Source organism: Homo sapiens, chromosome 10 (assembly GCF_000001405.40).
Source record: "Homo sapiens chromosome 10, GRCh38.p14 Primary Assembly".
NCBI lineage: Eukaryota > Metazoa > Chordata > Mammalia > Primates > Hominidae > Homo > Homo sapiens.
The window spans coordinates 11,260,918-11,273,130 of NC_000010.11; the positions used below are offsets into that span (position 1 = coordinate 11,260,918).

Here is a 12,213-nt window from a genome sequence, read left to right on the forward strand (position 1 = left end):
ATCAAATATTAATGTGTCTCCCATTAGTGGCACTGCAGATAAAGGGCATTCAGCATTTCTGTTCTCAGCGTCTATTGCTGGCTCAGCTGTTTAAAAATAAATAAAAATTAAGTGAAACAAAAGCATGGCTGCTCTGCACAGTACCTTCTAACACAAAACCAGGGTATACCCTCTTCCGTGAGAAAGTTTTAAAATCAAACTCTTGGATTATGGTGAGGGAGAGGGTGCAGCTGAGCGGTTCACTTTTCTTTTTCTGCTTTTGCCCAGTTCACCTAGGAGGATGAAGACAAAGGAGGCAACTAGTCTAGCTGGCTCCTGCGGATTTCTAATGTCATTTCTTCCCTGCCACATCAGTAGTTTCAGGTCCTCCCTAAGAGGGGTTACACTGAGGTTTCACCAGGCTAGTTGACCCAGTACCCCCACTGTGTCAGAGAGGTACACTGCCCTGACCCACAGCTGTACCCATCAAGTCGTGCTATACTTTCAGTCGGAATCACTGCCTTTTTTTTTTTTTTGTAAGTCGTGATCTACCTTTTGGCAAGAAAAGAAAGTATTTTTAAAATCCCATCTTACTCAGCGGCCCCAGCCCATGTTCCAGGGCAGACACCCTCAGGAAATTGTCACGACTCTACGTGGAAAGCACCTAACACCTGCCAAGCACCTGGAGCCTCTCGAAGATCCAAGGACTCTTCCTGGCTTGAGGCAGCGTAGCCATATCTCAGTATGCGTTTCTCCCTTTGGGGAAGTAACCCATTCTGCCATCTTCTCTAATTTGGAAAACACTGAGATGCTTTCAAGCAACTTTGGGATGCTCAGCACCTTCTGCAGCAGCTGCTCAGCCTCTCCAGGCCTGCTGTAGAAGCCTTCATGGAGAAAAGGAGCAGGATGCCATGGGCCCACATGTGGCAATTCACATGAGGTGTTTGCTCTCAGAAGCAGAGCCTGAAGTTTCTAAGCCAAATGTGCTTGATCGACAGCATCACCCTAGCATGTTGATTTCCTAAAATACACACACTCTCACTTACCCACAATCCCACAGTCAGCCTGGGCTATTTAGGTACAGGGTTTTCTGCACCGTGGCAGTTGAATATCTGTAACCCAGAGACAGTAAAGGAGTTTAATTTTTTTCCCCCCACAAACTGTAGGCAAATCTTCACTGCCATTTAAGGTAACTTTCTGCTTGTTTAAGAATATTCCAGCTGTGTTTATGGTGTTCCAACATTCCCCTGCCAAAACCCTTGACAAATGAATTGGCAATATTTTCAGGGATGTTGGCAAGTACAGACTGGATTTAGCTATTAAATCCTCATTGGTTTTTGTCATATCTGATCAGAATACAGGAATGGGCTTTTGACTATTAAAACATGTACACAGTGCTTGGGAGGCTGATGCAGGAGGACCACTTGAGCCTGGGAGTTCAAGACCAGCCTGGGCAAACACAGCGAGATGCTGTCTCAAAACAACAACAACAAGCATGTACACAGAAATGAATCAGTTTTCACACATTTCAGCTCTGCCCACACAGTACCTAAACATTCAGATGTGTGGGAACTTTGGCGACATGCCCCCTTGACTCCTTACTGCATTTGCCATCTTGTTCCAAATACAGACTTCCAATCTTATCTCAGTGATGAGATTTTGCCAGCTATTAAGTAGGTCCTAGTCTGTACCCAGCCTCGCATGCCATAAATGAGTGATGTGTCTGTGCCAGTTTTAAATAAAGTAACTCAGCATCAGGGATGGCCCATCAGAGTATTAATTCTTATGCCCCAATATTATATTGATAGCGTATGTTTAACGTTGCTACTGCTTAAAAGATACAAGGAAGATTGACTGCATTAAGATATTTCTTTGGCTGACTAGGAACTTATAAACAAGTTTTCCATAGGTTAAAATCTCCTTTGTCCTACACAAGTTATACTTCTTTCACTTGAAGTATAGTGGGTACTACACCTTTTTCAAAGAAGTAACAAAGAAAAGCAAGAGGCCCTGGCATTGTTCATGCTTTTAAAAGTGGCTTTACTTTTTTTTTTTTTTTTTTTTTTTTTTTGGTGCAGAGCAAGAATTCATCTAGTTCTCAGTTCTCTTGCAGCTAAGAAAAAAGGTGGAACACCTGAGTTAAGATATCCTTTCAATTGAAATGACAAGTGTAATAGGTGTGTTCCAAAATCTTCTCTGTGACAGGGCTACGTGCTTTCCTTAGATCTTGTCTGTAGGAGGAAATTACTTTCAGAAACCTTTCCCCAGTCAATCATTTATCTGTTTTAGCAGCAAGAAGGTAACCTCACTGAAATGAGAGGAATGCAGCTCCTTTCATTTCTGTTAGCAATTCGTAACATTCTGAAAGTAGGGATAATAAATAATTGCAAAGGTAAATTGCAGGTTGGCCAAATTTACAGTTGGATTTTTTTTTGCTGCTATATATGTGGAGGTTTTCAGAGAGTAATATACATGTTGTCTTACCAAAACTCCCTCCCCACCAAAAAAGAAAGAAGTATGGCTTCATTATTTTGATACCTGTATATTTTCCCCCCAGCCTTGTTTCTCCGGCATTTGGGTCAGTAGCCAAATTGCTGATTGCTGAGACCTGACATTCAACAGTCTAGAATAGTTAAGGGCTGACCCTACAGGATCAGAGCAGTTGTCCTGTAAAGACCCAGTGAACACCACCGCACCCAGAAGCTCATTTTTAGTAGAAAGGGGACAGTTACAACCCAGGTTATTTCTGTCCAATGGAAAGCCTTCTGGTTGGCTTGAGAGAAAAAGCCAGCAGCCAGTCTTAACGGTAGGGACTTACATGATCCTGTGTTAGTATAAAGCCATACATTGGAGGCCTAATCCTAAAGCCACCCATGTGTTTTCAGTGGTGTTGAAACAAAAACTAAAAATCTATCCATAGGACTTACCGTGACCTCCTGTTTTAGAGAAATTACAGTGGTTAACAAGCTACCATTGCAAGAAACAGTTGACTCTGAAGTTGCTTGACTTCATCCCGAGTGACACAGAGAGTGACATTTTTCAACATGCACTCCCACTTTATAAATGACACTGTAATTTTTTTCTCAAGTAATTGAACACAGCACACAATGCAGAACTTGACAGAAACCCCTAAGGAGACAGCTTCTGTCTTACTGCACCACTGCCAATAGAATTAAAAGGTTAAAGAAGTCCTCAGATGTGTCAGATCATTTTTTTGGGTGGGGTAAGGATTATATAATTACAAGCATCAGTCATGTTTTTAATTGCACGGTTGTTAGAGGAAAGGGCAATGATTTGAGTTTATAGAAACAGAATTTTATTGTTCTATTGGTAATACTTCTCTTCTGAGGCCTGATAATTGCTGTATCTTTCTCACTAAGTTACTTTAAAAAGTTCTGCATATATGAAATTGTGGCAAATGCATAAACTGTGCCTTATTGATTTTTGTTGACATTTTACATGTTTCTTACGCATTTTTACCCTCCATTTGGAAACTGTCAGCTTGGCACATGGTGCTGGATAATAAGAGCAAATGAAGTGAATACAGCAATCTTCTTGACTATTAAAAACAGAATTAGCCCAGGCTCCGCTTGGTTTCAAATCTATCTCCAATAGATGATTTGCCTTTTCCTCCCTTGTAGTTTCAAGATAAGAAGTGGAAAAATAAAAATCTCTTAGTGTTATTTCCTCTGTTAATAATGCCAGGGATGATGAAAATGCTTCTGAAGAGATGTTACTTGGAAACAGATGGTAAATTTGGACTGGATCACCTCAGAGCTCAGCATCAGTATGGAAGCCAGTGGAGGTCCTGTCCTCTGTCCCACACTTACATCATCTAGCTGCCTCAGAGAAGGCCACTAAATTGCTGTTATTGATGACAAAAGCTACAGTCAGTCTTAGTACAGGTAGCGTGTTCAGATAGTAAGCTTCATCAGCTGCCATGCTGTCAGAGAACCACATGAGACAGCTCAGCATTCACCGTGAGCTGAACTTCATTCAGGCTTCTTCAAGCCAGCTTAGCCAGGAGGCGAATGTGAGATGAGTTTCTCATGTACTGAGAGTTTTTGTGTGTTAAAAATTATAGCATGATGCAAACAAAAAATGCATTGACTTATTTTCATGACTGGATGTCGTTGTGCTTTGAGGGTAATGGGCAGGCATTGCTTTCTCTTATTGCTGTTGGATTAAAAGGTGCCGCTACAGTATTGACTTGATAATCTCACCAGGTATTCGTGCAGAGCAAAAGAAGAAAATATATTTTATGGCTCACAAATTGATTTACATAAACCAAACAATCTGCTGGTTGTTTGAATGCAGAATATTCTATTTTGCTTATTGGCCACAGGGGCAACAATCTCACATCGTTGATGCCAGAATTCTGCTTTTCATGCATTCACTCTGAAATGACAATAGACGTCAGCCTCTCAGTGTTTAGATCTGCTTCATTTGGAAATCTTTTAAGTAGTAATAATAATGTTTTGAGGAAATTGAGTGGAACACTAAATTATTCTCTGATACCTAAGTTCAAACTGTGCAAGGCTAAAGAAGCTGAAAATCAATGCACTTTTAAAGTCATTAGAGATCATAAGTGAAATAAGTCTGTGTTGCTTTAGCTAACCTTTTAGTGTGCTGTGGTTTTATTATAATATCAGCCTGAATCTGCATTAATTTCACAGTCTTTTTCTCTAAGAAGCCCAAGGGTGCATGATGAATAAAATGTAAATTTGAGAAGGCAGTGTTTTTATTAGTGAAAAGGGCAATGAGCCATGTAGTTGGAGCAGTGACCTGCATGGTGGCCAACGCTGGTGCAGGAAGCAGGAGCAGGCACTACAGAGTCTAGTTATTTTACAGCACAAGAAAAAACAGGCACGGAAAGTTTCACTGGTCTCCCAGCAGATATTCACAGAAGTGTACATTGTCTTGTGTATGTTAGAACTAAGGTCAAATCTTTGATACGTTTCAGAAATTGACAAGTCTCAAAAGTCTTGAAGATTTTATGCAAATAAATGACAATGCACGTTTTTTACATTTTATAGCAGTATTGAATATTCTCGGAGTAATGGAGCATTTGTTTTTATTAAAATTAAAAATTGCTAAATAGTTTGCAACAGACTTGGTATATTTGTATTTGCATAGCAACAATTTATGTTTATACATACATATATATTTTTTAACTACCTGGAAGGGATTTAGATACATTTGTTTGCTGACATTTTGAGCTCTTGAAATTTATTTGCTCATTTGCCCTTGGTGTGAGGATTTTCTTATTTGCCCCTTTAAAAATCAATGATAAAATTTGAAATACAAAGCCCTGATGTGTGAATGCCCTCAGTAAAGATCATCAGTCAAGGAGAAAATGGAAAATAGCAACTTTTTATTTTAGAAAATGCAAACTAGATCTTGCTGATTTCAAACCCGGTGGCTAAAAACAGTACCCAACTTCCTCCCCTAGTTTCCATTTAAAAAATAAACTAATAAATAAATAAATCTTTCTGCTTTGGTCAGATTAGCAAGTCAGCACTGTGAATAAAAAGCAAAATAAGATAAAACCAGAGAGAGAAGTTGTTTTATTTTTATGTACTACTGAGAACAGTGTCGTCTTGTGGCAGTTCTCGTAGACTGTGTTGGTTTAACAAGCGTCCAACCCTTTTGTCTTGTTGTTTTTTGTCTTTCCTGCTCCCTGTCCCCTTGTTTCCCACAGGCTGTGCGTTTGTCACATTTTCTACAAGGGCAATGGCACAGAATGCAATCAAAGCCATGCATCAGTCTCAGACCATGGAGGTACTGTATCATCTGCCCTTTCTTTGTTTTCTTTGTGCAAATGATGGGGAATGGTAAAGCAATTCTCTCCTGTGTGGATTGTTCACATGACAATCACAGATGTAAACTTTCACCATCTCAGTTTTCATTCATTCATTCTCATTCTCTCCTTCTCTCTCTCTCTCTCTTTCTCTATGCATTTTTCCCCTAATGACTTGAAATGCATTTAGGAAAACCTTCCACTTGCTCTCCAGTTATTTATTTGAGCCTTTTATTGCAGTGGCACGGGTCCTGTGATGTAAAGTCGTGAGCACTTTAAGCAAAGTGTCATTCTGGACCTAAAGAATCAAATACATTCCCCACACCGGGGTCGGTGCGGATGAAACAGTAACAGCCTCCCACCCCAAATTACTGCTTGCCCTGTGCTAAGTCCCAGGGTTCTTTCGTTTGTACAGGGTCAAGTTATCTTCCATCTAGTCAAACAGCATTGTGTTTTTACATCAAGAATGTTGGAGAAAGTTAATATTTCTCCCACTGCATTTAACATTGAAAGTGCAAATTTGGAAAATAGGATTTGTCTCCTTCCTTAAAAAGATGAGCAATAACAAAGAAACATAATAAAGGCTCAAATGTGGTCTCCTAATGAGAGATCATGGCTTTAGGGGAAGGTAAACACCCTGGTGTGGATGCACACCCACGAACCTAGATAGATGGCTCTGTACTTTTAGTCTGTGATTTGGGTCATGGCCTTTCAGAATTTTGCACAAAAGCATTCCAAGAGTGATATGCCGTTACTTCTTCTGTATTGTCTGATAGAATCATTTGGGAGTGCATGTTCTGCTGTATTATGTATACTGTATCTTTGTGTATGGGTGATCTTTTCCGGAGGTGGCCTTGTGGTGTTATCTGAAGCTGTGTTTTCATATTTTGAAAAAAGATATTTTCAATTTTATTTAATATGCAAAAAACTTTTTTCTTGATTGAGCTTCTGTTTTCCCCCCATTTTGTTGGGGTTTTATTTTTTTGTTTGTTTGTTTTTGTTTGTTTTTTGCAATGCTGCATCTCCCAAAGCATGCTGGGAGCTAAGTGATCATTATGCGTCATGTTTTGTGGGCAACTTTTTTTATAGTGAATCAAAAGGTGGGTGCAAAGGGGGGAAGGAGTGTGCATGGCATTGTCATTCAGTGTTTACTGTACTTTTCTGACTTGTGATACCAGCATTGCAAAGCCTATTGTCTTTTTCGAACATTGATCTTGACTTTGATATTCCTAACATATCTTATATAATCACTGTGTTTTCCTTTCAGTGCAATGCATTTTTAAGACACTCACAACCCCCTACCTGAAGGCAAGCTCAGGTGAAAATCGGGCATGATAGGCGATAATGAGCAGGATTTGGAATGTCTAGGAAGCTAATCTTGTCTGACACGCAGTTACACGTGTGATGGCGTTTTGCTTCCCTCTTTCTCTTACTGAGGCCGCTCCATTCCTGTGGATTAGCCTGATTTCCAGCCACATTTTAATCTTCAATTCAGTTTGAAGATTAAAATGAAACTGCTGTTAGGGGCAAAAAAATAAAAAAGAAAACTCTTTACTTGTATTATCTTCCATATACGCGTTTCATTCTTATTTTTATTTCTTGTAATTTAGTGATGTGTACCCAAATTGGTCTCACCTGAGATAATTTTGAACCTCAATTCTTCAGTGTTTCTGTTAGAAACATTACGATCCCCATTCCTTCCCTTGGAGCCCCCCCAGTAATGCTCAGAGAGCCACGGACAACCCACGGGAGACCATGTTCCCCTGTGTTCCTGTAGAAGGAGGACTCTGGATCATAAAGCAGAACTGGGCATGAACCAGGCTGAGAAACAGTAGGTTCCCATCATGTAAAGAGTTGGTTTGACCACTGGGGCATATTTATTCCTAAGCCTTTGATCCTTTATTATTAATATCTCTGTTATTTGAAAACCAAATTTGGTGTTTAAAACTGGACATTCATGCTTACACAGAGGGGTCCTCTGACACTTAAATTTCTTGTTTGGTTTTTTTTTTAATTGGCATTTAAATAGGAGGTTATATATTATGCAGTCACATTATAATTGTTTGACTAACGTTGTTTATTTTTAACTAATTATATTATTTCCAGGACTCTGGCATACATCTTTAACCAAGATGTATTACCTAATTCACAATGATGTGAATGTTGAAAGAACAAGGTCTTAAAAACAATTAATTTTATATCGTGCCTTCTGTTTCTCCACTTGCCTTCACTCTATCCCTGCCCTGTGTTTCATGGTTTAAAAAATCATTTTTAAGCTATAATCATTGGCCTAATTTTCTGCTTTTATATCATTTTTACTATTTAAGGAAGAAAAAAATAGATGTTCTGTTAGGAGAGATGCTATAATTTGTTATGGAACAAATTTGATGGAACAATGACAACCCTTTTCCATGCAAAACCCCCTCTCTACATAATCTTCAAAGTATGTTGCTCTCTTTTAAGTGAAGTACTGAAACATGGAACAGATACAGAAAAAAATGAATTACAGATTTTTTTAAATGATGGAAATACTATTTTTGTGCAATTTACTGACATTTAACATTCTGTACCATGACTCTGTCTACCAGAGCTGAAGACCAGTAGGCTGGAAGTTTAACACTGAAATATTCATCTCATTTTTCTCACTTTTTTTTATTAACAGACATGATATCCTCATGTATTCAGAACTGCATCCCCAGTAACTACCCAAGGTGATAAGGAAAAAAATGCGTTTGTTTTCCAGAAAAGAGAAACATGACCCAAAGGGAATGGAACAGAGAATCACATTTAAATAGGAATATAACATTTCTGAGAGGAGAGAGAGAGAGGTCTATTATCATGCTGAGTTTCAATAAAAGTTTTTATTTTAATCACTTGGGTAGAATTACTTCTTTATGCCTCAGCAAAATTGAACAGCTTTAATTGTGATGAAACGTGTAGGCAAGCCACACAAAGGAGGAGAAGAGGCTGGGGAAGGAGGGGGAGACTTCTGCTGAGTTACTTACCAAGTGGCAAATGTTGCAAAGGTGCTTTGGAAAGGAGGTCTTCGTGCTTGGGGTGTTAGGCCCTTATTATCCCTGATGATTTTATCTAGCTCAGTAGTGAATTCTGTGACCTTTAGCCATTTCTTTCTCACTACCCCTACTCCTTGCCTTTTAAAGGAAATTAAAACTGAAAGAAGCTGCTAGAATGGTGAGATTCATTAGGGAAAGAAGCCAAGTGGACTCCTCCGTCTGCTGTTCACGGTCTATCTTCTTTGGCTAGAATGTGCTTCTGTTTTTTGGGTTTGCACCAGCTCCAGGGATGGCGGGTAGCACAGGTGTGCTGAGGGAAGAGGCCTCTCTGAAAACGTGAACGGTTACTTTGGAGAATGCCTGTGTTCTCTGAATATCTTCTGCCCTCATCCTCAAAACTAAAATGAAGCCCTTTTCCCTATGATTGCTGGGCCGATAGGATTGTCACAATCCCAAAGTTCACAGATACATAACTGAAAACGGGAAAGAGTAAAAGATAAATGAATGAGAGACATGGCCATTCCCGTTACAGATTCTCCCCTTTGTCCTCTGTCCACCTGTGGACACGGGCAGACACACAAAGCCAAGTCTGTCTTTAAGACGAGCAGCCTGAGAAGCTCAATTAAAGAACCTTGGTAAGGTCTGTTGTCTGTAAGGAGGTCCTGCAAGGTTGAAGGAAGACACAGGAAGAGAAGGAGAGGCAGTTACTAATCAGAGCAAGAAAGCAAGTGACTTCACCGACCACCAGATCCCCCAAAGAAACCACTGGCAGTGTCTGGAATTTTCTGTTGATGGTACTATTCAGAGAAGAAGGAATATCAAACCGTTTTAAACCATTTCAGCCCATTCCATGTGCTCCAGGCTAGTGCAGAAAGGTAGCTCCGGTGCTGAGTGTCGTGAGCGGATTCCGCCAGCCTGTAACCCCCTCTCCACTTTCCAATGTGTCTGACCACAGGGCTGCTCTTCACCTATCGTGGTGAAGTTTGCTGACACTCAGAAGGACAAAGAGCAAAGGCGCCTCCAGCAGCAGCTCGCTCAGCAGATGCAGCAGCTCAACACTGCCACCTGGGGGAACCTGACAGGGCTGGGCGGACTGACCCCACAGTATCTGGCGGTAAGTGCTGGGCAATGCCGGCGTGGTCTTCACCCGCTGAAACTCTGCAAACTGACTTTTCCCCTCCCTACGCTGAGGCATTTGTTTTCAGTACATTTTCAATCTCGGGGAATTATTGAAATCAGCATTTATGCAGGATATTTTTCCAAGTTAGATTGATTCTGTTAAGAACAGGACTAATTGAATTCCTGCCTGATGTAGGAGGGGCAAAGTCCCACAGGTTAAACTTCTAACTCGTCTTTGAAAGGCACCCCAAGGCCCTGAGTTAGAAGACATGCAGCTGATGATGTAACGAGAGGGAGGCCGCTGGGCTGGCTCATCCCTGTCAGGTCAGGGTCTGCGCCAGCAGGACCTCAGGTGAAATCTCCCAGAACTTCCATTCCATGATCCTGGCTCTTCGCAGTGGAACCAGATTGATGAAATCAAGTGTTTCTTACTTCATCTATTTGAAACCAACAAAATTCTATTCTATTTCAAGCCCCAGCAGACCCAGTTCTCTCAGCCATTCCTTACATCTCTTGGTGTCTGAACTTGAGCTTTCTGGTTGTTTACTCATGCTCTCCATTTCACTTTGTGTCTTTATTGAAACACAGTGACCAGAATTTAAGACAGTCCCCCGAGCGAGATCTGAACAGGACGGAGTAGTAACCTCTAGTGTGGACTTGAGGGCATCTGAATGGAGCTTGAGAGCGGCGTTTGTAGTAACCATGGCAGATGCGGGCTGGAAGGCAGCCAGTACTCCAGAGATTTTATTTTTACTCGAATTACTGCTAAATTGTGCTCTTCTACCCTATTTTTCCACTTTGGAACATAAGTGCTGGACTTCACATTTATTAATATAATTTCATATTGTGAGTTTGGGCCTTTTATTCCAGCCTCAGAGAGGGTGTCTCTGTGTGTGTGTGTGTGTGTACCCCATGTGTATTGGGTCTTCATTCTGTCATTTTACATTTTAACTATCCCTCTTGTGATCCTGTCACCCATTGGCTTTACTTTGTAGCAGAAGTTGTGCTTTTGTGTCAAATGATCCTCCCTATTCCACCTTGGAAGGTGAGATGATCCTGCTTTTCGGACATATGAGGAAAGGGAGACTCAAAGAGGTTACGTAACGTTACCCAGAATCAACCAGCCGCTAGTGGTTGATGGGACTTGAGCCCTGCGTGTCCCGCCGGCTGGCCATACTGCCTCTTTGAGGACTCCGGGTGCTGCTGCGGGTCACCTTCATCTTTTTAGCTGCCCCACCCCCAGTGCCCAGTGCCCAGTGGGGTCTGGTATATAATAGCTCTTCAGTACATATTTGATGAATGAATGAGAAGCATCCTTTTCCTGTCTTCCTCTGTGCTGCTAGCAAAAGCATTGGCTCAGGTTCCCATCACTTTCTGTCCATTTCTCTACCTTGTCCACGAAGATACCATGAGAGATTTTGTCAGCTGTCTTGCTAAAATCTATATTTGCTCTGCTATTATTTTCTTGACTAATCAGTCTAAAAATTGCTTTAAAAGAGAAATGAGTCTAGCTTGACTATGATTTGTTTTTCACAAATGTGTGCTGTTCAGATGCTCACAGTCGATTGGTTTAATTCTGTGTACCAGAATTTTTGTCTGAGGCTGACATCACGCTCACCTTCCTGTACTTTCTAAGAGTCCGGCTTCCCCCATCCACCATTTCTGAAAACTGAGACACGTGTCCACTCTGTCTTCTAGCACGTCTCCTGTGCCCCCACGGCTCACAGAAATCTCCGGCACATGTTTCTGGGACCACATCTGCAAATTGTTTGTGTAGGTGAAGGAGAGGAAATCTCAGCCTGATTTATAGAAACATGTTTTTAGAAGTTCTCACTACGTTTCCCTCTGCCATGGGTGATTCTTTCTTGGCCATGTTTGTCCTACTCCCTTTCAGCTGAAAAGCCCTTTCTCTGAAAGAGCCCTTAGCTGCCTTGAGTGATAGATTCTGACCCTGGCTCACCAGAGGTTGGTTATCCATGGCAATAATCCTGGGTGGTGGTTTAATGACACTCCAGGTATTTCCACTTACCTCAGTAGGTGCTATTAACTCCTCTAAACATCTTCAAGGCTAGCTTAATTTTTAAAATTTAAAAACATTGAATATGAGGAGGAAGTTGCAGTTGATAAGCGCAAGAGAATGAGAAACCCAGCAAATCAAACCGAAATAAGGCCTTGCTATTACAGTGGGCAGTCCCTAGCTTTCCCACCCCCTCTTCCCCGCTCTCTTCCTCTTTCTGTGTGCGTGAGAGTATGTGTGTGGGCAGGGAATGGAGAGGGATGACTGAACACAGACTTTTCTTG

The 12,213-nt window shown here is 41.1% G+C and overlaps 1 protein-coding gene across 70 annotated transcripts in view, besides 2 other annotated features; it reads left to right on the forward strand.

Moving 5' to 3' along the window:
• Positions 1 to 12,213, forward strand: part of CELF2 (CUGBP Elav-like family member 2) — an 874,126-nt gene that overhangs the window by 798,368 nt on the left and 63,545 nt on the right. For 67 of the 70 annotated variants that reach the window (XM_047424494.1, NM_001326323.2, NM_001326320.2 and 64 more), the window contains 2 exon segments: positions 5,681 to 5,760; positions 9,749 to 9,907. In XM_047424494.1, the coding sequence (XP_047280450.1) occupies positions 5,681 to 5,760; positions 9,749 to 9,907 (239 nt within the window). 70 annotated transcript variants of the gene reach the window in all.
• Positions 693 to 742: an enhancer, noted in NCBI's record as "active region_3007". NCBI's record gives its function as "activates an Ori minimal core promoter by ATAC-STARR-seq in GM12878 lymphoblastoid cells {active_cell/tissue: GM12878}" and the evidence as "EXISTENCE:reporter gene assay evidence [ECO:0000049][PMID:35858748]".
• Positions 763 to 832: an enhancer, noted in NCBI's record as "active region_3008". NCBI's record gives its function as "activates an Ori minimal core promoter by ATAC-STARR-seq in GM12878 lymphoblastoid cells {active_cell/tissue: GM12878}" and the evidence as "EXISTENCE:reporter gene assay evidence [ECO:0000049][PMID:35858748]".